The sequence below is a fragment of the Homo sapiens genome, chromosome 19, assembly GCF_000001405.40.
Source record: "Homo sapiens chromosome 19, GRCh38.p14 Primary Assembly".
NCBI classification, from domain to species: domain Eukaryota; kingdom Metazoa; phylum Chordata; class Mammalia; order Primates; family Hominidae; genus Homo; species Homo sapiens.
In genome coordinates this window covers 45995405-46018713 of record NC_000019.10, presented here as the reverse complement: position 1 = coordinate 46018713, position 23309 = coordinate 45995405, and the positions used below count along the sequence as shown (strand labels likewise).

The 23309-nt window shown below is 52.2% G+C and overlaps 1 protein-coding gene across 1 annotated transcript, besides 6 other annotated features; it reads right to left on the bottom strand.

Moving 5' to 3' along the window:
- Positions 1-97: 97 nt before the first annotated feature.
- Positions 98-23247, bottom strand: CCDC61 (coiled-coil domain containing 61). The gene is made up of 14 exons (NM_001267723.2): positions 23210-23247; positions 15548-15706; positions 15213-15295; positions 11998-12155; positions 10413-10574; positions 3455-3665; positions 3287-3369; positions 2491-2660; positions 2321-2396; positions 1881-2020; positions 1645-1723; positions 1410-1467; positions 564-636; positions 98-424 (listed from the first exon to the last, which is right to left on the bottom strand). Exons 2-14 carry the CDS (start codon positions 15693-15695, stop codon positions 327-329), a joined length of 1539 nt encoding a protein of 512 aa, NP_001254652.1. The 5' UTR covers positions 15696-15706; positions 23210-23247; the 3' UTR covers positions 98-326.
- Positions 1792-1851: a silencer, noted in NCBI's record as "silent region_10808". NCBI's record gives its function as "represses an Ori minimal core promoter by ATAC-STARR-seq in GM12878 lymphoblastoid cells {active_cell/tissue: GM12878}" and the evidence as "EXISTENCE:reporter gene assay evidence [ECO:0000049][PMID:35858748]".
- Positions 2582-2661: a silencer, noted in NCBI's record as "silent region_10807". NCBI's record gives its function as "represses an Ori minimal core promoter by ATAC-STARR-seq in GM12878 lymphoblastoid cells {active_cell/tissue: GM12878}" and the evidence as "EXISTENCE:reporter gene assay evidence [ECO:0000049][PMID:35858748]".
- Positions 3129-3423: a silencer, noted in NCBI's record as "tiled region #13926; HepG2 Repressive non-DNase unmatched - State 10:DNaseD". NCBI's record gives its function as "represses a minimal TATA promoter and a strong SV40 promoter by Sharpr-MPRA in HepG2 cells {active_cell/tissue: HepG2}" and the evidence as "EXISTENCE:reporter gene assay evidence [ECO:0000049][PMID:27701403]".
- Positions 15118-15617: an enhancer, noted in NCBI's record as "H3K4me1 hESC enhancer chr19:46506355-46506854 (GRCh37/hg19 assembly coordinates)". NCBI's record gives its function as "activates a minimal SCP1, AML or CMV promoter by ChIP-STARR-seq in naive H9 embryonic stem cells {active_cell/tissue: H9 hESC(naive)}" and the evidence as "EXISTENCE:reporter gene assay evidence [ECO:0000049][PMID:30033119]".
- Positions 17489-17783: an enhancer, noted in NCBI's record as "tiled region #4903; HepG2 Activating non-DNase unmatched - State 23:Low, and K562 Activating DNase matched - State 8:EnhW". NCBI's record gives its function as "activates a minimal TATA promoter and a strong SV40 promoter by Sharpr-MPRA in HepG2 cells, with weaker activity in K562 cells {active_cell/tissue: HepG2 | K562}" and the evidence as "EXISTENCE:reporter gene assay evidence [ECO:0000049][PMID:27701403]".
- Positions 23130-23309: an enhancer, noted in NCBI's record as "active region_14833". NCBI's record gives its function as "activates an Ori minimal core promoter by ATAC-STARR-seq in GM12878 lymphoblastoid cells {active_cell/tissue: GM12878}" and the evidence as "EXISTENCE:reporter gene assay evidence [ECO:0000049][PMID:35858748]".

The following is a 23309-nucleotide window of genomic DNA, read 5'->3' as shown; positions in this document are numbered from 1 at the left end:
GAGGCACAGACACACAGGTCCCAATTATACCCCCCAATTTCTCTTCCTCCACATTTCTCCCCACTCCACCCTCACCCTTTAGTCATAAGCTGAGGGGTCCCCAGGGCAAATATGTTTATTTACAAAATGCACACATCCTCCCTCCCAGCATGCACTGCCTGGGGAGAGGGCAGGGTCAGGGCCTCACACACCTGAGACCCCAGGGGCAGCAGGAGGGACGGGGCCAGGGCAGGGACTGGGCAGGGCTGGAGGCCACCCTGGCCCCACCCCCCACACCATACCCAGCAAGTGGGTGGGGGATGGAGGGGTAGTACCCCTTCTCCACGTTATGACCGCATGTCCAGTCGGTTCATGTACTCCTGCAAGGCCTTCAGGCGTGCGTCTATTTCGGCCATGTCAGCCGCCTGGTGCTCCGAGCTGTACTCTGTGAGAGCAGGTGTGGGTATGGGGGCTGTGAGGGGCCTGAAGCCCCAGGGAGTTCCTGGGCCCAATATACCACTGCCCGCACTACCATTCCAACGGGTCCTGGGGCTGGGAGAGGGGATGTGGAGTCCCAGGCTCACCTTTGATGGGGACCCAGCCCCCGGAGTTGGCCAGAGATTTCTGATGGTGGCTGCGTTCCACGGGGGGAGACTTCTGGTGATGGGGAAGGTAGGAAAGGGGGTCACCCACCGTCCCTCTATTTCTGTCCCCCTAAATCCCACTGGAAATCCTGAGCCTAAGGACCTTGGGGAAAAATAAGGCCTGACACCTACTGGCCATTCATTATCTGCAAAATAACCTCCTAATGTCCTCACAGAGCCCTCACCTCACATGTGAGGTGATGCCATTACCAACCCTGGTTAACTGATAAACAAAAACTAAGGTACAGAGAGGCTAAAGAACTGCCTTGAACCATACAGCTGGGAAGAGGAGGAGACAGGTTTCAAGACCTGACAGTCAGAAGCCAAAGCCCTAAAGAGCATCACGTGCCCCTCATTATTCCTTCTCCAATCTAATGCTCTCAAAACGTGCTGTTCCCAGGCCAGGTGCGCTGGCCCAGCCTGTAACTCCAGCGCTGTAGGAGGCTGAGGATGGCTTGAGGCCAGGAGTTCCAGACCAGCCTGGGCAACATAAAGAGACAATACCACCCCCTTATCCTGTCTCAACCCCACCCTGCCCCCCCAAAAAAGCCTAGTCCCAGCTACTCCATAGGCCGAGGTGGGAGGGTCTCTTGAGTCCAGGAGTTGAAAGCTGCCGTGAGCTACAATTGCCCCACTGCACCCCAGCCTGAAAGAGCGAGACGCACTCTTAAAAAAGCCCTATTGCCAAAGGCATTCAGAGTCGCCTCTGCACCTGATCCCCAGGAAGGAATCACAGGAAATGGGGGCAGCTGTGTTCCAGTGGTTTATGTTGCCCCTTCTACTCACCATATTGGACCCACTCCAGGGCGTTGGGCTGGGAGGCTTCCCACGGCGGCGGTGACCCCTGAGAAAAAGGAGTAACCAAGGACCAGTGGTGGGGAGGCTCTGGTACTTCCCACCTCCCCGACCTTTGTGGTTTCAAGGCCCCCAGGCTCCATCACCCAATTTCCCTGCAAAAGACTGTTTCTAGTCTCCCCAGAAACCCTTTGGAGGCGATCCTTTTCCCAAGTTCAAGTTTTACCCTCTGGAGAGCGACTCAGAGAAATCCTCCAAATCGCTGCAGGAGCTGGCAGACGAGCAGCGGCTGCGGAAACTGTCCACTAGAGGGAGACGGAGGGCGTGACCGCTGGCCCTCGCTGGCCCCGCCCAGTGCTTCCCAGGCCCTCCCAGCCCGCCCGCCCTGCCCAGTGCCTCCCAGCCCGCCCAGCCCCGCCCAGTCCCGCCTAGCCCGGCAGCCCCCAGCTCCAGGCCAGTTACCTGAGGAGCTGCGGTTTCGGGAGCGGTTAGGGGCGTCCCCTCGGCCAGTCAAGGCAGCAGGGGGCTGGGTCTGGCGAGACCAGGAGACGGACGGACCGTCCCCGCTTCCCCCACTGCCTAAGCGGTTCCGCTGCTGCTGCCTGGGAAAAAAGAAAGGAGACGCCGGTCTGTACGCCCAACTCCTGCAGGCAAGGGGGTCACTGCGCCCCTAAAGGTCACAGCCACGCCAGCGAAAGCCTGAGGTGACAGGCCTACGAGCGGAAAGCACGCAGAAACACAGACGAGGAGGTAGGACGGACGGAAGGGAGAGCAGGCGGGGTATCCGGCGAGAAGCGAGCAGGTGGCAGGGGATGGAGACTGATGGTGGCGTGGAGAGATGAGAGCCCGGGAGCGGGCACGGGCCAGGGACAGGGGCAGGTGAGGGAGGAAGGGGCACTGACTTCATCTGGATCTCTCTCTGCTTCCTTTCCTTGGCTTTCACAAAGGCCGTGGGGTCGAAGCGGAGCGCGCGACCACCTAGGACGGCGTGGGAGAGGAGGCGGCTAGGTCCGGAGACGGGCCTTGGCAGCGCCAGTGCGTCCCCTCCCTACCGCAGGGCAGGGGCACAGACCTGTGGGCGAGGGCGAGGGGCGCGCAGGGCGGCCCCGACCCCGGCTCCCGCGGCCGCTCTCCCGGGATGAGGAGCGCGCGGCGCCGCGGCCTCGCGACGCGGAGCGCTCCCGGGACGATGAGGCCCGGTCCTCCCGCGTCGGGGGCGGCTGCACCGGCGGAGTCCGCCTCCTGAGACCACAGAGGCAGCTGTCAGCTTCCCGCCCGCCCCGACAAACTCAATCGCGAGACTCCTCCCCGACCGCACCTTCTCCGAACCCTCAGGCCTACCCCATCAACTCCTAGACGTGCACTCCTGGGCCCATGACCCTCTCGATATCTTCCCCCCCAGACCTCACCCAATTGGACCCCTAAAACACCCCTCTGTCATTCCCCTACATCCTTTCAACACACCGCCTTCAACAGACCCTTCTTTCCGGAGTCTTCCACAACTCCCCGGAAACTCTTTCCAATTTTCCACCACCCACCCCATAAATGCCAGCGGACCTCACCCTGATCCCACCTGCTGCGCCGCACCCTTTCGCACCAGGAGACCCTAGGGCACGATCCCTTTCCCAGTCCCTCCTGAACGCCGCCCCAAGCCTGCGCATCTCCGCACAGCCCGGGTCCACCTCCTAACCACTGCACCCAAATCCTGTCTGGACTCCAGACGGGGTCCGCTAAGCCCCGCCTCCCCTTCAGCCCCGCCCCCTCCACCCTACCTGGCCCCGCCCCGCCCCCTTAGGCTCCGCCTCATCAGCCTCCACACCCTCAGGGCCCGCCCATCCGCCCAGGCGCCTGGCAGGCCTCGCTCTCACCCCCTCTTGTACAATGCCAGCTCGCTGGTCAGCGTCTTCAGCCGGGCGCGCAGGCTCCGCTCCGATGCCTTCGCCTCCTCGAGCTGCCGGGAGGGGAGAGGGGCGCGGAGGTCCAGGCTGAGGCCGAGGTCCGCGCCTCGCTGGCCGCCCCGGGCCCCCGCTGCTCACCTCCTTGGCCAGACGGCGGCAGTCCTGGCCGCGACGGCCGGCCACCCTGTGCCCGAGGCCGCGCTCCTGCCGCAGCTCCAGCTCCAGCCCGCGCACCAGCCCGCGCAGCGCCTCGGCCTCCTGGCGTGCCGCGCGCCCGGCCAGCGCCTCCTCGCGCGATCGGCCCAGCTGCGCCTCCAGCTCCCGCTTCTCGGACGCCAGGCGCGACACCCTGGGGAAGACGCGGAGAGAGCGCTGGAGAGAGAGGCATGGCCCCATTCCCACTACTCCATGGGGGTGGGACGCCTCATCATTTCACCTCCCCGGAAGGGGGTACACGGCTCATCAGTCTCAACTGACCCCATGGGGAGGGGCAGGGTCCTATCATATCCCCTGCGACGTGTGAGGAGGGATGTGGTCACATCACCCCCATGCACCTCACGAAGAGGACATGACCCCACCACGCACAGGACACACACACACACTCCTCCCCCTGGTGCGGGTGAAGGAGTGGGAACACAGCCATGTGAGTTCCAATTCTAAACGATTTCATCAATCTGTACACACCCTGAAAGCCTAGCACTGCCTCCCTCCTCCTCCCACCTCGCCAGGCCAGTCTCCCAGTCACGAAATCCTCTACAATACAAATTTGATCAGGTAACTACCATGCTCAAAACCCTTCCTTGAGAAAATGTATACACAAGGCTATTCATTGCAGCACAATCTGTAATAGCAAAAGAGTGGAAATAACCAAAATGTATGTTAAAAGAGAACTAATTGAATTTCTAATACATCTACTCAATTGAGTCCCACAAAACTATAAAGAGGAAAGTAGAGTATCTCTGTGTCCTGTCACCGAGTGACTGCTGTGACACAGTGCGGTGCAGACAGTATGTTCAGAATGTCCCTTTTCATAAAAGAAATGAGAATTATAAATTATATGTTTATATTTTCAAAATTACAGAATAAACCAAAATCTATGGGGGAAAAAAGGATTATTTATGGGGAAGGGGAAAATGAACAGAAATTGGACTTCTCTGGCTGGACAAAGTGGCTCATGCCTGTAATCTCAGCACTTTGGGAGGCCGAGGCAGGTGGATCACATCTCAAAAAAATAAGAAAACCAGAAGTAAAAATAATTTTTTAAAAAATGTAAGAAATTGGACCTCTCTGAATGTACCCTCTTTTTCAGTTTTGGAACTATAAAAATATTTTATACAAATTAATTAATTAAATTTTAACAAATGCCATCACAAAAATTTTAAAAGAAACTGGCCCAAACAGACCTAACTCTATATCAAAGTTGGTGGCACATTGGAGAATTATAGGAGGTGACTAAAACACATCGTTTGAGCAAGCGGGATATAGCCTAAGGCCAAAAAGAACTGCAAAGAAATCTTTTTTTTTTTTTTTCTGAGACGGAGTCTTGCTCTGTCACCCAGGCTGGAGTGCAGTGGCACGATCTTGGCTCACTGCAACCTCTGCCTCCCGGGTTGAAGCGATTCTCCTGCCTCAGCCCCCAAGTAGCTAGGATTACAGGCGCCCACCACCAACCCTGGCTAATTTTTGTATGTTTAGTAGAGACGGGGTTTCACCATGTTGGCCAAGATGGTCTCAAACTCCTGACCTCATGATCTGCCCGCCTCAGCCTCCCAATGTGCTGGGATTACAGGCGTGAGCCACCGCACCCGGCCCTGGAAATGTTAAACTTCATTCAAAATTCAATTATTAGTAATTACACTGGTATTGTTTAAGATAAAGCAAATAAATATGTTATTATCCCTAGAAACTAAGATTTTCATCACAAGAAAAGACATATAAGTAGGTCAAGTGTGGTGGCTCACACTTGTAATCCCAGCACTTTGGGAGGCCAAGGCGGACAGATACCTTGAGCCCAAGAGTTTGAGACATGCCTGGGCAACAAGGTAAATCCCCATCTCTACAAAAATTAGCTTGCAGCCAGGTACAGTGGCTCATGCCTGTCATCCCAGCACTTTGGGAGGCCAAGGCAGGCAGATCACCTGAGGTCATGAGTTCAAGACCAGCCTGGCCAATATGGTGAAACCCCCTCTCTACTAAAAATTCAAAAAAAAAATTAGCCAGGTCTGGTGGGGGGCACCTGTAATCCCAGCTACTCAGGAGGCTGAGGCAGGAGAATCGCTTGAGCCCAGGAGGCAGAAGGCAGAGATTGCAGTGAGCTGACATTGCACCACTGCACTCCAGCTTGGGGGACAGAACAAGACTTTGTCTCAAAAAAAAAAAATAGCTTGGCATGGTGCCATGTGCCTGTAGTCCCAGCTACTGGGAAGGCTGAGGCAGGAAGGTTGTCTGAACCCAGGAGTCTGAGTTGACAGTGAGCCATGACTGCACTACTGCACTCTAGCCTGGGTGACAGGGCAAGACTCTGTCTCTTAAAAAAAAAAAAAAAATTAAATTAAGTGCAAAAAGAGATACAACTAAACTATATTGTTTAGGGATGCATAGTTCAGCTGGCAAAACCATAAGCAAATCAAGTGAGTGAGATCTGGTGCATTTGGGAGCATGGTTGGGGCAGGAGGGTCTCTCCCGGAAAAAGACATACGGAGGCTATGGGGAAATGACTACTTTTGATTTTTTTCTCCTTTTTTTTTTTTCCACATAGAGTCTCCCTCTGTCACCCAGGCTGGAGTGCAGTGGCGTGATCTCGGCTCACTGCAACCTCTGCCTCCTGGGTTCAAGTGATTCTCCTGTCTCAGCCTCCCGAGTAGCTGGGGCTACAGGCATGCGCCACCCTGCCCAGCTAAATTTTTGTATTTTTAGTAGAGACAGGGTTTCATCATGTTGGCCAGGCTGGTCTTGAACTCCTGACCTCAGGTGTTCCACCCGCCTCGGCCTCCCAAAGTGCTGGGATTATAGGCGTGAGCCACTGAGCCCAGCCTCAATTTTTTAACCTGGGTAGTTGTTACATGTACGCTGGCTTTATGATAATTTGTGAAACCGTACATTTATATTTTATACTCTTTGGAGTATATTATTTTTCACAACAAGAAAGTTAAGTAGTGGAAGCAGTGGGACTCTTGGGCAGGAGGGACGGGTCCCATCCCAGAGATTCAGGTGTAAGTGGTGTGTCTGGAGGAGTCAGGGCCTGCCCTGGAACTCCTCACTGCTCACAAAATTTTTAAAAAAAGAAAAATAGGCCAGGCACGGTGGCTTACACCTGTAATTCCAACACTCTGGGAGTCTGAGACAGGTGGATCACTTGAGACAGGTCGAGAGTTCGAGATCAGCCTGGCCAACACGGTGAAACCCCGTCTCTACTAAAAATGCAAAAATCAGCCGGGTGTGGTGGCACACACCTGTAATCCCAGCTGCTCAGGAGGCTGAGGCAGGAGAATCGCTTGAACCCAGGAGGCAGAGGTTGCAGTGAGCAGAGATCACGCCATTGCACTCCAGCCTGGGTGACAGTGCGAGACTCGGTCTCAAAAAAAGAAAAAGAAATGGTGAATGTACAGGGCAGCCAGGGCACTGAGATTTTTCAAAGCTCCCGGGCAATTTGAGTGCATATCCAGAGTGAACCACTGCATTGGTTGAAAGGCCGAAGAGAACTTTATAAAAGAGGGAGCCAGCTCTCAACAGCTGAAATCATCAGTCTCAACACCACCAAAGGAGGCATCTTGCCAAAACCTACCCCACATGTGATTAAACCTATATAGGGTTAGCCACCACTTCACTGCAAGTACAGGGGACAGAGAAGGACATTAAACACACCATGGCGATATAATCAGCAAAATCTATTTTTCATTTTTCCATCTGAGTATGCTTGCTAGGGAAAAATTCAGCAAAATCTAGACTGCAAAACTCTACAGGACAAATAACCTGATTTCTTCCACAAATAAGTAGCATGAAAAGTGGAGAGGGGGATATAAATTAAAAGAGATTTAAGAAATACATCAGCCAAGCTCAGTGGCTCGTGCCTGTAATCTCAGCACTTTGGGGGGCCAAGGCAGGTGGATGGCTTGAATTCAGAAGTTCAAGATCAGCCTGGGCAACACAGGCAAACCCTGTCTCTATAAAAAAATATGAAAATTAGCTGGGCATGATGGCATGTGCCTGTAGTCCCAGCTACTCAGGAAGCTGAGGTGGGAGAATCGCTTGAGCCCAGGAGGTAAGGACACAGCGAGCCAAGATCGTACCACCACACTCCAGCCTGGGCAACAGAGCAAGACTGAAAAAAAAAAAAAGAAAGAAAGAAAAGAAAAGAAAGACCTCGACAAACTGCAATGTGCAGCCGTATTTAGATACAGGACGAATTCAAACCACTTGCAAAAAAGACATTTGAGAGGTGATCAGAGAAGTGTAAGTGTGAACGCATACGCAGTGGGTTTCAGATGACATCCTGGAATTTTTGTGAATTTTGTTGGATGTGATGGCAGCACTTATATCCTTATGTGTTAAAGATACACACTGATGCTTTTACAGAGGAGACACGAAGACTGGGATTTGCTACAGGGCAGGGGGTGGCAGTACATCAAACAAGATGGGCAAACGTGGGTAACTGTTGAAGCTGGGGGACAAGTACGTGCAAATTATACTACTGTTTACTTTTGTGGTGCTGGAATTTTTCCTAATAAATCCTTCTTAAAATCCGTGGTTCCCCACACTCTCTAACAAGGAGCTTTCCTTTCTATTCAGCCCCTGCCCATCTGACTTCTCCCCTCCTCTCCTCCTGCCTCCCTCTCCCACAGGCTCCAGCCAGATGCAGTTCTCACCTCCCAGAACCTTCTCTCCCTCTTCTCCTGGCAAGAACGACTCCACTCATCCGGGAAGCCTACCTGCCCCTGACGTTCTCCGCTCTCCCAGCCCTCTATACCTTTCCTTCCTAGCACCAGCCCTGGCAGACCTGGCATGTAGAGGAGTGTCCGTTTCCCATGTGGATCCCACCTTTCTGGGGGCAGAGCCTCCACCTGTCTGGTTCACTGCACAGGACCCCAGGCTGCGTGGCCGGGCGCCCTGCATTCAACTCTATTCCACTTGTTAACAAGCTGGGTGGCCCTGGGCAGTTTCACTTCACATCTCTGAGCCTCAGGCCATCTTTTCTCATCTGTGAAGAGGGACGATAATAAGAATGCCCGCCTGTTAGGCTGTAAGAATCTATCCACAGTGCTTAGACCATGTCTAGCATAATAAACATTAACTAGCGTCAGGCAGTGTGCCTGGCACAGTATGAACTCCATAAATGTTGGCTCAATGAATGAATAAATCTCAGAACCTTCCCAAACTCCCTAATTCCTGGCTGGGAAGAGGAAGATAAGAAGCCACTGAGCAGCGGTGGGATCTCAAGGCTCCTGTGGTTGGTTCCAAAGGGTGGAGGGCGCCCCCTTGTGGCCATCTTGGGAAACACACACCCAGAAACACAAACCTAGAAACACACACACACAGCCTGAGACAGAGCAAACGCGCGCGCACACACACACACACACACACATACACACACACACAGCCTGAGAGCAGATCCTGAGGATAAATTTTGGCCTCCCCACTGCGGCCTTCCTCGGCCCAGCCGTACACAGGCGAGCTCCTCCAAAGACCGGCGGGGTTCCCCAGCCCCATGAGCTCCCATAAGGACTGGTCCTCCGGGTCAGCACTTAGCGCTCTGTCCTGGGCTTGCAGCCACCAACAGTGCAAACAGCTGGGGAAACAACAGAGGCTCGGCGCTGGCTGCCTGGATCTAAGGTCCAGCCTAGCCATATTACCCACTGTGTGACCTGCGCCAAGTTCCCTAACTTCTCTGGGCCTCTGTCAAACGGTGATAATAGCAGTGCCTACCTTGTAGGGTGGCTGTGAGGATAAAATGAATTTAATCATAAAGCACAGAGCAGCCCTGGCATACAGTTAAATGTTCAATAAACATTAGTTACTGGTAACATTATTACTAAAAATATTATTAGTCCTCCCCAACGAGCCAGGCCTCTTCCCGGTAGCGATCAAGCCCCAGATTCGTCTCCCCAACAGAACCAAGCACAAGGCAGGCATGAATATATATGCCAAAGGCCTTTGCTTCTTTCACTTCATTCATTCCCTTGTTCTCACCGCATTCCCACCTAACACAAGGACTTTGCCCAGGCTGTTCCCTCTGCCTACAACACTTCCCCAGCCCCTGGGCCTGACCCACCCTACACCCCAGTGGAGTCCTGTGACAGCCTCCCACAGCACAGGCTCCCTTTCCTGCCCTACTCATCTCCATCTGTAATGATATACTCAAGTGGTTATATACTTAGCACCCATCTCCCCCAGGGCTGGGCACTACGTGAGTGGCAGGGAGGGGCTAGCACAAAAGGTGCACCCCATGAAGGTGGATTCGCCTACATAGAGCTCGACCTCCCCCCAACCTTTGCACATGCTGCTCCCTTTGCCAAGAACACCCCTCCCGTACCAGGCAGGGTCAGGTACCCCACCCAGAGCCTTCACTGTCTGCAAACACATCTGCCTCCCTCCCTGGACTCAGAGTCCCAGGAGGGCAGTGCCAAGATAGTCTTGGTCACCACTATGTCCCCAGCACCACCCAGCACAAAGGTACAGAAGAGGGGCTCAGAGGCCGGGCGCAGTGGCTCATGCCTGTAATCCCAGCACTTTGGGAGGCCAACGCGGGCAGATCACTTGAGGCCAGGAGTTTGAGATCAGCCTGGCCAACATGGCAAAACCCCTTCTCTACTAAAAATACAAAAATTAGCCGGACATGGTGGCGCGTGCCTGTAATCCCAGCTACTTGGGAGGCTGAGACAGGAGAATCGCTTGAACCCGGGAGAAGGAAGCTGCAGTGAGCCAAGATCGCACCACTGCACTCCAGCCTGGGCAACAGAGTGAGACTCTTGTCTCAAAAAAAAAAGAATACGTGGTGGGCGAAGGACAGTCATCCTCCCCACAGGACCGAGCATGGGCCCCGCGGTGCATGATGGGAGGGCCCCCACCCGCCCCAGCTGCCCACCCCTCCAAGACTCACTGCTCCCGCAGATGCCAGATCTCATTCTCCCGGGTGTCCCGAGTGTTCTGGCCATCCAGCCCTTGCAGGCGGCCCAGTTCCTCCTTCAGTGACCGGATGATGCCCTGCAGAACCACGGGGTCTGGCTTGCCCTGGTACGGGAGGGGCAGCGGGTAGTGAATCCTGAGGAGGGAGGATTAAAACCGTGGCATCTCAGAGGCCAAGAATGCACCTGAGGGTAAACAGCAGCCTCTGAGAGCCACAGAGTACGAAAACACACAATTCCAAAAACTGCACTGTCCTAGAGGCTTATGAGCACATCCTCAAGGCCCCTCCCTGTACCCGGACCCCTTGTTCCAGTCACCACCTGTGAAAGCCTCTTATATAACAATTTGGGGACCACTGGGATTGGCAGCCCTGGTGTAGTCTGGGGGAACTTCCTTGTCACCCACTGCTGATGAAGGGAATGCTGGTATCATGTTACTTGCAGCCAAACGCAATCCTAATTCAGATGCCACAGCGGGGCATTCTGGTTGGCCTGGCCTGGGTGACCCTGGCTTGGCTGGGGAAAGGTGAGCCATTGTGATTAACGGCCCCATGAGATGCTATTCACAGAGGATTGGTAACTTTCCACTAAGAAATCCAGTGGCTACTAACACATGGGACAGACACGGTCACCTAGCTACACAACTGCCATTCCCAACTCTCTTGCTACCCTCCCCCTATAAAGGCTAGAAAGCCAGATATTCATTTTCCCAGCATCCCTTGCATGTGACCACCTCTGGCCACATATTACAGGAAATCTGTTGGGAGTCTTCTGGGAACACTTTTTTTTTTCCTGATAAAAACAGCAAAGGCAATTAACAAACTCAGCCCTGTCCCTCTTCTTCCTGCCTTGATATAGATGCAATGTCTGGAGGATCCAGCAGCTATTTTGTGGCCATGAAGAGATAAAGATGAAGTCAAAAGGCCAAGCCGGGCGTGGTGGCTCATGCCTGTAATCCCAGTACTTTTGAGAGGCTGAGGCAGGAGGATCACTTGAGGCCAGGAGTTCAAGACCAGCCTGGGCAACATGACAAAACCCCGTCTCTACTAAAAATACAAAAATTAGCCAGGCGTGGTTGTGGGTGCCTGTAGTCCCAGCTACTCTGGAGGCTGAGGCACAAGAATTGCTTGAACCTGGGAGGGAGAGGTTGCGGTGAGCCAAGATCACACCACTGCACTCCAGCCTGGATGAGACAGTGAGACTCCATCTCAAAAAAAAAAAAAGCCAACACATTAACGACAGTAAAAGGAAAAAAATAAAAAAGAAAGAGCTTGAGTCCCTAGTGGAACTGTTAAACAGGTGGCAGACACCTACCTAGACATCTTGTTACGTGACGTATTATTTGTTTGATGTATTGTTTGTTTAGGGCACTGGTGATGGTTATTCTGCTACTTGTAGCCAAACACAATACTAAATGATACAAACCCCAACAGGGAAGATTCCCAAGGCAAGGCTTAACCAATATCACCTTGCCTGGGTGCCAGGGGTTCCTAAGGCCTACCCACATCCTCTCCCACCCCGCCCACCAGCCTGGCCCTGGAGCCAGACCCTTCTCCCCACCTGTCAAACTCCACGGAGTAGATGAGGATCAGGTAGCGCTTGGAGTTGAGCTGGGCCGACCTGGGGGCCAAGGAGCCTGGGCGGCCCCCCATCTTGCGGTTCCGCAGGGACTCCAGGTCTGTGTAGGTCAGCAGGTCCAGGGTGACTGACTCACTACTCTGTCAGGAGAGGAGAGGAGGAGCTGCCACAGCACCCGCCACTGCCACACGGAGGGCACCTAGCACACACCTGGGCCACAGCCCTTCCCGTTCTCTAGGCGGGCTAGGCTTTCCTACGCGAAGGCTGGCAATCAACATGGCCCTGTCCTAGGGCAGACACAAGGACTTCATCGAAGGAAGAAACCAGAAAGAACCTAAATGCTCAACCAGAGAGAACAGCTTAGACCTGTGACTCTCTGAGTGCTGTCTCCAGATCCCTGGGGGGTCCACGAGACCCTTTCAGGGATCTCCACTGAGGTCAAAGCTACTTTCATAATAATACAAAGACGTCATTTGTCTTTTTCACTGTGTTGACATGTGCGCGAATGGTACAAAAGCAATGGTGGGAAAAACTGCTGGTGCCTTAGGAGAAATCAAGCCCCTGGCACCGAATGGTACTGGAGGTTATTGTATCTCCCCAGTCTCAGTGGGGGGCTGGGGAAGAGAAATAAACAAACAAGTAAATAAGCAAATCAACCATAAAACACAGGAAATGAAACATCGGAATGTTCTTGATGAAGCAGTAAAAATTATTAATTTTATTGAATTCAGCCCCTAGAGCACACATCTCTTTATTATGTTGAGCAAGAAAATGGGAAGTACACATCAAGTACTTCTGTGCACGCCAAAGTATGACGATGGTCTCGGGAAAAAGCACTTCTGTATCTGAGTTTTGAGCTAAATTAGCCACTTTTCATAGAACACTATTTTTACTTGAAAAAAAAAAACGACTGACAGACAAAACTATGGTTATTTAGACTCGGGCTATCTGGCAGAAATTTTCTCAAAAACGAACAAAGTGAGCCTGTCACTTCAAGAAAAACAGCTAACAGGATGTCTTGCCAATAACAAAATTCAAGCTTTGCACTTGAAATTAGAATTTTGGAAAACTTGTATCTTCCACTGGGTGTCTGATAGCTTCTCGGTGTTCACAGACTTTCCTGGGGAAATCGGTGAGGATATTAACAAATGTGACTTCTGGATATTATATAAGGAAATGTGTCAACATTTGGAAAATCTGCACAACTTAGTGAACCAATATTTTCCAAATGACCAATGCATGATGTTACAAGATCATCCACAGGTAAAAAAATATCCATACAAAATGCAAGATAAGTCAGTGGAATTTAATGTAACAATACAAAAAGTTCACTGATGAGGATGCAGATTCCACATTGCAACTAACCTTTAAGAAACTATCGCTTGTCCAGGCCAGGCGCGGTGGCTCACACCTGTAATCCCAGCACTTTGGGAGGCCGAGGCAGGTGGATCACTTGAGGCCAGGAATTCAAGACCAGCCTGGCCAAGATGGCAAAACCCCGTCTCTACTAAAAATACAAAATTAGCCGGGCATGATGGCGCATGCCTGTAATTCCAGCTACTCGGGAGGCTGAAATAGGAGAATTGCTTGAAATCGGGAGGCGGAGGTTGCAGTGAGCCAATATCATGCCACTGCACTCCAGCCTGGGCTACACAGATAGTATCTCAAAAAAAATAAATAAATAAATACAAAAATTAGCTGGGCATGGTGGGCAGGCCTGTAGTCCCAGCTACTTGGGAGGCTGAGGCATGAGAATCACTTGAACCCGAGACGCGGAGGTTGCAGTGAGCTGAGACTGTGCCACTAAGCCTGGGCAACCGAGCAAAACTCTTGTCTCAAAAAAAAAAAAAAAAAAAAAAAAAAGATATCTAAATACCACCCATCCCTGTCACTCTAAGTTCTAACCTGCTTCTTCCCCCTGATTATTACTTTTAGGCTGGGCACGGTGGCTCACGCTTGTAATTGCAACACTTTGGGAAGCCAAGGCAGGAGGATTACTTGAGATCAGGTATTCAAGACCAGCCTGGCCAATACAGTGAAACCCCATCTCTACTAAAAATACAAAAATTAGCCGGGTGTGGCGGCACACGCCTGTAGTCCCAGCTACTCGGGAGGCTGAGGCAGGAGAATTGCTTGAACCCAGGAGGCAGAGATTGCAGTGAGTTGAGATCACGCCACTGCACTCCAGCCTGGGAGACAGAGTGAGATTCCATCTCAAACAAACAAACAAAAACTTTTAAATACCTGACATTATGTATTTTTTCATTTGTCTGTCTCTCCAAAATGTCAGCCTCATGAGGACAGGGGTTTTGTCTGTTGTTCACTGCTGTATCGCCAGTGTCCCCCACAATGACTGACACACTGTCAATGCTCAGCAAATGAAATGAATGAATGGCTATATTCACTGATGTGACTACATTTTTATGAGATATTGCTGAATCCTTTAAAAGCAAGTTGCAGGCTGGGCGCAGTGGTTCACGTCTGTAATCCCAGCACTCTGGGAGGCAGAGGCGGGTGGATCACCTGATGTCCGGAGCTCCACACCAGCCTAGTCAACATGATGAAACCCCGTCTCTACTAAAAATACAAAAAATTAGCCGGGCATGGTGGCGTGCGCCTGTAATCCCAGCTACTCAGGAGGCTGAGGCAGGAGAATCGCTTGAACCTGGGAGGCGGAGGTTGCAGTGAGCTGAGATGGTGCCACTGCACTCCAGCCTGGGCGACAGAGCGAGACTCCATCTCAAAAAAAAAATAAACAAACAAACCAAAAAAAGCAGGTTGCAGAATACCTTGGAAATTATATAAACTATATATAATTACAGATCTGCAAATGCATACACACACACACACACACACACACACACACACACACACACACGTATTTGGAAACAAACAGAGACATGGAGAAAGGACTGGAGTGATTTTCACCAAAATATTAACAGAAGCGAGTATTAGGGCTGGAGTGATTTTTACTTTCTTCTTTATATTTCTCTGTGACCTAAATTTTCTACATGAGAATAACTATCATTAAGTTCAAAATGAAGCATTTACACTTGGCAAAAGAAGAAAATGATCGCCCTCTTCCCACAATGAAAGAGAAGGTAGAGGGTCTTACATACATCAGATGGGCATCAACCCCCCTGGAACCTGGAAGACAGAACCCCCCTCCCACCCCAACCCGCCAACCCGGGCCCTACCTGAGTGAGGGCTGACTCCAGCATATGACAGAAGATGTTGAACTGTTTGAAGTTCCCTGTCTTGTGAGTCAAATCTTCAATGACTGGGTGGGGAGAAAAGTCTCTCCTGAGGTCTGACCGCTTGCCCAGCCCCAGGGCAATGCACCTAAGCTCTGCAATTCTACCCGACTCCAGTGTCTCTGGCTTGAGCAACAAGACCTACACCCCTCCCCACACTGGAGAGTTTCTGGTGACAAAGAAGAGGCAGGTGGGCAGGATTCAGGGTGGCCTGATATTCTGGGAGAAGCTGATCCCAGGAGAGGAAAGGTGAGCCCACCCCAGGCAGGCACACTCACAGCCAGCATCGAACTCGCCCCGCCACTGGTCAGCCGTCATCCGGTCCTCCACCTCCAGCTCCAGCACCTGCCCAGAAACCATCACCCGCACGGCATGCTCCACACCCCGGAAGACGTAGTCCACCTGCAGGCCAGCCGGCTGGTCCATGGCCAAGGTTGCTGGAGAAGGAGATGAGAGAGAAACCTAGAGGAGCTCAGAGCCCAGGCTCATGAGTTGGAAGGCCAGGCCTCATATCCTGGCTCCATCATTTACCAGCTGTGGCATCCTGGGAAAGCGAATTCACCTCTCTGTGCCTTAGTTTCCTCATCTGGAAAATGGGTATAATAATGGCACCAACCTCGTGGACTTGTTGTGAGGATTACATTGGGCAATATGTATAAAAGTACTTGGTACTGTGACCTGGAGGCTGTGTCCAATATGTGCTGGATACTAGAAATTCATGATTGCCAAGCCGGGCGCGGTGGCTGACAACTGTTATCCCAGCACTTTGGGAGGCTGAGGCAGGAGGATCACTTGAGCTCAAGAGTTCAAGACCAGCCTGGGCAATGTGGTGAAACCCCACCTCTACTAAAAATACAAAAAAATTGCCAGGTGTGGTGGTGCATGCCTGTGGTCCCAGCTACTCGGGAGGCTGGAGGCAGAGCTTGCAGTGAGCTGTGATCTTGCCACTGCACTCCAGTCTGGGTGACAGAGTGAGACCCTGACTCAGTTAAAAAAAAAAAAGAAAGAAAAGAAATACATGATGGCCAAAAAAAGAATCATGATTAATATTAGTATTAATTTATTAAGTCTTATACTCATTATATATTTATTATTATTCATTCATTCATTCAGCAAACATTTGTGGAGAAAAGTCAAGCTGGAAAGAGGGACGGGGGTATTGGAGTAGGATGAGCCAAGCTTTTAAAAGGGGGTCAGAGCAGGCCAGGTGCGGTGGCTCATGCCTGTAATCCCAGCACTTTGGGAGGCGAGGCAGGTGGATCATGAGGTCAGGAGTTCCAGACCAGCCTGGCCAACAATGGTGAAACCCCATCTCTACTAAAAATACAAAAAAATTAGCCAGGTGTGGTGCCCCGTGCCTGTAATCCCAGCTACTCCGGAGGCTGAGGCAGGAGAATCGCTTGAAGCCAGGAGGCAGAGGTTGCAGTGAGCTGAGATGGTGCCACTGCACTCCAGCCTGGCGACAGGGGGAGACTCCATCTCAAAAAATAAAATAAAATCTAATATCAGAAAATACAATATTGTGAGGCAAAAAAGATGATCCTTGAAACTCCAGGTAAGGGATTTTTAACCTTTTTAGAGTCCTTGAGCCTTTGAGAATCTAATGAAATTTCTGAGCCTTCTGCAGATAAATGAATAGTCCCAAAACCTTTTGCAAGTTCATTTCAGTGGCTCCCAAATTACCACCCCCCAGGCCCATCCACAGATCTCTTTTCTCAGAGGCCCAAGGGCAATGGCGTAGGCCCTAGACCTCCTGACAGACACCTCTCTCTAGATCACAGCTCTTAACTTCATTTGGGAGAAGAGTGCTTTGGAAGGGCTGATGAATTCGGGGACCCCCTTCCCCTGGAAAATTCACATTCTGGCAATTGTGCTTTCATTCTCTGATGGTTCATAAGTCCAGGTTAATAATCTCGATCTCGTCCGTGTGCGTTGGCTCACGCCTGTAATCCCAGCACTTTGGGAGGCCGAGGAGGGTGGATCATTTGAGGTCAGCTCGAGACCGGCCTCGCCAACATGGTGAAACCTCGTCTCTACTAAAAATACAAAAATTAGCTGGGCGTGGTGGCAGGTGCCTGTAATCCCAGCTACTCGGGAGGCTGAGACAGGAGAATCGCTTGAACCCGGGAGGCAGAGGTTGCTGTGAGCCAAGATCATGCCATTGCACTCCAGCCTGGGTAACAGAGCAAGATTCTGTCTCAGAAAAAACAAATAAATAAAAAATAATAATCTCGATCTTGCTGCAAACAAATTGCCGCATATCCCACATCCCCTGACCCCAATGCAGTGCGTGGCAGCACTGGCCCCGCCCCACTGGGTGTTCTAAACCCCGCCCATCAACCCCACCCCCTCCGGCTCCCAGAACCTATCAGCGGCGACACCGTCCGGGTTACCAAGGCGTAGGAGGCACCCACGGAACTGAACACCTGAGGAGCCGCACAGCATCACCGCCCCCACTCGTGGTCCCCAACTCCCGGGAGGAGACCGCACAGAGGAAGGGGGCCCGCCACACCGCATCCCCGCCGCCAACTCCCCTTTCCCCACTGCTCGGCAGAAACCCCCCATACCCACCCCGCGAAGAGCAGCCCCTTTCGGCATCCCATTGCCTTGTCCTTAGCCCCCACCCCGCCCTGATCCCAGACACTGAGCCACCGAATACTCTGCCTAAACTCAATTCCCCTTGCACACTTACACCTCTCTCACCTCCACAAACTTCACCCGCTGCCCGGCCCCTTCCCCTCCTCTAGGCATGTCCTAAGTGCTCAGTAACTGCTGATGGAATAAATCCCACACCCGTGCCAGCTCCACACGGCCTCCCTGACCCCAGCTGCCCGTCACTTGTCCCCCAGATGGCCACGGAATTCTGGACTCCCCTTCCCCTCCTCTCTGCAGAACCTCCCACTCCACATATTCCAGCCCAACCCTCATGCTACATTCCCCGGAAACCAGCCCCCTCTCTCCCGTCCAAAGCCCCTTCATTCCATCCTGCTCTCCCAGATTTGGGGGCAGGGAGGCAGCCGCACTCTCCTCCCTACACCAGCCACCCACGGTCTCCTAGGGCTCCCGCATATTCAACTTCAATGCACCCCGTTATTCCAACTGCATTCTTCCCGCATATTTGCTCAAGGTTCTGCTCCACACATCCCACTTTCAGCCTGTATTCCATCACTCCCATATTTCACCTGGATTCTGTTCCCTCCCAAATTGCTTGTAACCCCACCCCCAACCCCCACTCCACCCGCACACATATTTTCCACCTCTCTTCCCTTTAGAGAGCCCTCTCTGAACAACCCCTCCTCTCCACTGACCCCACCACCACCGCCACTTCTAGGATTCCCCGGACCCTGAGCCCCCTCTCCCCTCCCGCCGCTGACCCTGTCCCTCTACCTGCATCCTCCATCCTTGCTTCGGAATGACCAGTGGCTCATCCTGGTGGCTGATTTCATTCCAGTCCTGAGCCTCTCCCAGTTCCTCTTCTCAGCCTCTGCCTCCTTCCTGACCTCACGCATCCCAGCGGTGCCTTCGAGGCCCCGCCCTCACCAACCCATGACGTCACCACCCCATCCCTGCGAGCACTGTGCGGCTGCCCTCCAGGCCCCATCCTGGCCCACACACCTGACCCACTTCTCGGGCCTCATGACATCATGGCGCTGGCACACTTACACCCAGTGTTTCAGCCCCCAGCTCTCTCCCTCTCATCATTCACTAGGATGACCCCTTTCCTTTCCAGCGTTACATCACCACCCCTGGCTCCACCTTCCAAATGGCTCTCCCCAGATAGCTCACAGATTTCACAGCTCTTACCCCGGGGCCGGAGCTGAAAACTCTCCACGCTGGGCTCACCAAAGACAAATCTACATCACTACCTCCCATACCAGACACGGGCAAATCACTGCCCTTGGCAGCCCACACCTGATGGCTGTTTCCCCACACTCTGCAGCTCCCCACCACCGCCAACACATATTCCAGCCCAGCCATACCCTAGATGGGCTCTCTCCTGCAGCAGCCCTCCGCCCCACATTCACACGCGTGGCCTGGCCTGGATGACCCCCTTCCCGACCCCATTCTGACCTCACCTCCCCACCACGTGGGTGAATTGAGGCTGGATAGAACCCCCCCTTCACTGCCCCAGAATACAGACCAAAGCCTTCCACATTGTCCCCATAGACTGTAGAGACAGAGAAGCCCTCTGGGGAACCAAGCAATGAAATCTCTACGGTGCACACTGCGGCACCCCAGTTCCCCCTGGGGCATCAACTCCCTCTCCCACTGTCTCTCAAAGGCAAACTTTTGCCTTAGATAAGGACCATGCACACTTATTAACCCAATGAATGACTCACCCTAAATTCTGCTCTCTGGTGGGTATTATAACCATCCCCATTATACAGAGGATGAAACTGAGGCTTGTCTAGGATCCCACCATGAAAGACAGAAACATTCGTCTTCCTTCCCCTTACCCAGCTGACCTTCCCTGACCACCTCCTGTTTCCTCCCAGAACTAACCCAAATGCGGCCTCACACCTTAAGCATGGCACATGCTGCAGGCTGGGTACTTCTGGGTTCAGATTCCAGCTGCCTTTCTCCTTGGTGTGTCCTTGGGCAAAGTACTTGCCCTCTCTGGGCCTTCCCCCATCAGTAAAGCGGGATAATAAGAGCTCCTACCTTATAGGGTTGTTGTTGAACTAAATTATTTAGTGTATATAAGGTGCTTCAAACAGTGGCTGGCACTCCCTGTTACCATCTGTGTGATCTGTTGATTATTTGACAGACCAGGAGCCCGTGAGGGCAGAGCCATTTTAATCAATCTTGTATCTTCAGGGACTGCTTGTGAATTTAACGGGAGATGCCAGGGAATGGGGTTCTAGACACTGGGGATACAGCCAAGGTTTTCTCCCCTCGGCTCATTCCCTGTCATCCTCCAGGTCTCAGCTCCAATCCCCTCTCCTGCAGGAAGCCCTCCCTGACTCCCAGGCTGGGTCAGGAGCTGTCTCAATCACCACAGTGGCCCCAGCAAACTCTGAACCAGCCTAACAGTGTTTCTCACAGTGATGGCCAAGGAACATAATCCTTACCACAAGTGCTTATGAAAATGCAGCTTCCTAGGTCGGGTCCCAACTATACACAAGCAGAAACTCTGGGGGTGGGCCCAGAAATCTGCATTTCCTCCAAGTTCCTTCAGACACTAAAGGTTCCTTCTGCCCTTGGGCGCCACAATCTGCCCAGTTTATTCCCCCACCTCCGACCCTACCACCCCACACATGACCCTCCTAGTTCAGCAACCCTGCCCCATACCACAGGGAGACCCCAAAGGGTGGTGAGGACAGTATAGGAGAAGCAACACTTTTTAAACACCATGTGCTCTTCTAGGTGCTGGGTTCCATATTCACATGGAGTCAAACACTCTAGTGGGGAGGTCCAAGAAGCCCAGTGGATATAAACCAACAGTAATTGATGTGAGGACCGGGCACAGTGACTCACGCCTGTAATCTCAGCACTTTGGGAGGCTGAGGTGGGCAGATCACTTGAGGTCAGGAGTTCGAAACCAGCCTGGCCAAGATGGTGAAACCCCATCTCTGCTAAAATTACAAAAATTAGCCAGGCGTGGTGGCATATGCCTGTAGTTCCAGCTACTTGGGAGGCTGAAACAGGAGAATCACTTGAACTTGGGAGGCGTAGGTTGTAGTGAGCTGAGATGAGGCCACTGCACTCCAGCCTGGGTGACAGAGAGAGACTCTATCTCAAAAAATAATAATAGGCCCAGCGCAGTGGCTCACGCCTGTAATCTCAGCACTTTGGGAGGCTGAGGTGGGTGGATCACCTGAGGTCAGGAGTTTGAGACCACCCTGGCCAACATGGCAAAACCCCGTCTCTACTAAAAATGTAAAAATTAGCTGGGCATGCTGGCATACACCTGTAATCCCAGCTAGTTGGGAGGCTGAGGCAGGAGAATCACTTGAACCCAGGAGGTGGAGGCTACCGTGAGCCGAGATCGCGCCACTGCACTCCAGCCTGGGTGACCCGCAAGAGTCCATCTCAAAAAAAATAATAATAATAATCTATATCAGGTAGTGGTGTTATGAAGAAAAATAAAGCCAAGTGAAGGGCCATACAGTGACAGGAGTTATTTTAGCTTGAGTAGTACTTTAGCAAATGCCTGGTTGTGAAGCTGACGTCTGAGCGGAGACCTGAAAGAGGTGTGGAAGAAGCCACACAGACACCTGAAAAGACCTGATCCAGAAGGACAGGACAGCGAGTACAAAGGCCCTGAGGTGGCAGTGCGTTCAGGGACAGCGAGTACAAAGGCCCTGAGATGGCAATGTGTTCGCTATGTTCAAATGACAGCGGGGAGGCCAGGGTGGCTGCAGCAGAGTGAGCCAGGGGAATGAGAGAAGTGATGGGAGTTGAGGGGAGGGAGGAGGAGGAACCCAATAGGTTGGGGCCTCGTGGATATGGTGAAGACTTTTGCAGTGTAATGTGGGAGCCAGGAGAGGGTTTGAAAGGAGAAACAACCTGACCTGACTTCTGTTCTACTAGTATCCCCCTAACAGTGAGAGGCAGAGAGCCCACCTGGAAGGCCACTGCAACAAACCAGGTAAGAGCAGGAGACAAACTGAGGCCAGAGTGGTAGCAAAGGAGCTGGTGAGGCATGGTTGGATTCTGGATGTGTTTTGAAGACAGAGCTAATGCGATCTGCTAGACCATATATAAGTAAGACAAAAGGGAGAAGTGAAGAAGACTCCAAGCTAGCCAGGCACGGTGGCTCACGCCTGTAATCCCAACACTTTGGGAGGCTGAGGCGGGTGGATCACCTGAGGTCACGAGTTCAAGACCAACCTGGCCAACATAGTGAAACCCCTTCTCTACTAAAAATACAAACAATTAGCTGGGTGTGGTGGCGGGCGCCTGTAATTCCCTTGAATCTGGGAAGTGGAGGTTTCAGTGAGCCAAGATCGCGCCATTGCACTCCAGCCTGGGCTACAAGAGCGAAACTCTGTCTCAAAAAAAAAAAAAAAAGAACACTCCAAGCTTCTTGATCTTAGTACCTGGCAGGATGAATGTCCCATCAACTGGGTTTGGAGGTTGAAAGGAAGAAATCGCAAGATTGGTTTGGGACAAGTTTATGTCTGAATGTCAGATGAACTTCCAAAGAGAGAAGAGTCGGCCATGATATGAGTCTGGAGTTCAGGGCAGAGATCCAGGCTGGAAATACACACGTGGGAGTTCTCATTAGATAAAGAGGGTGAAGCTAGCCAATGGTATAGACAGAGATGATGTCATTCTACTGATGATGAAGCTGAGGCACAGAAGGGTTAAACAACTGGCCCAAAGCCACAGTAATGATCAGTGGCAGAGCCAGGATTCAAATTCGGGATTCAACCCGACGCCAGAGCCCACATTCTTAACCATCAGTAGAGTAAGTTTAAGAGTTAATTCACCTAAAACACTTGGCAGGTGCACAGCACATAGCAAACGCCACAGGCATAATAGGGCTTCACATCTCTTTAAAGTACATGCTCATCCCTGGAGGTCTCCTTCCCTCCCTTCCTCAATATTGCTTCTTCCCACGACTTTCACCCAAATCAAAGCTTGTAAAGCATAGTGCGCTGTAATAACCCTCTGCCTTAAAACCTCCTACTAAATCGCCACGCTGCATTCCAAGGACGTCTCTATATTTTACCATCTGCTGTCTCCTGCTTTACAACTTTCCCCATTGAAGACCCTCCTGCGATATACAGATCACCCCCAACTCACATGCTGCGCTCAGCCTCACAACCCCTCAATCAAGCGCCTACCCTTGTTAAAGGGCACCCTCCCTCCCGATTCCTACAAGGCCAGGTCAGCTGCCCACCGCAGCCCACTCTCCCCCGAGAGAAGCCCCTTCCCCTCCACCTAAGACCTCCACCACGGCCCGCGCAACCGCCACTCCCGCGGCCTCTCACCTTCTCCACTAGCAACCCTCCTCGCGAGCGGTTCAACTGACGAAGCTCCAGCCCCGCCCCAGGATCCGGCGTTCTCGCTTCTGATTGGTCACAGCTTACC

Coding starts and splice junctions, on each gene's coding strand:
- CCDC61 (NM_001267723.2), bottom strand. CDS start 15,695: ATGGACCAGCCGGCTGGCCTGCAGGTGGACTACGTCTTCCGGGGTGTG. Junction 3,666..10,412: donor ATCTGGCATCTGCGGGAGCA/GTGAGTCTTGGA, acceptor CGTCTTCCCCAG/GGTGTCGCGCCTGGCGTCCG. Junction 2,021..2,320: donor CAGAGAGAGATCCAGATGAA/GTCAGTGCCCCT, acceptor CTTTTTTCCCAG/GCAGCAGCAGCGGAACCGCT.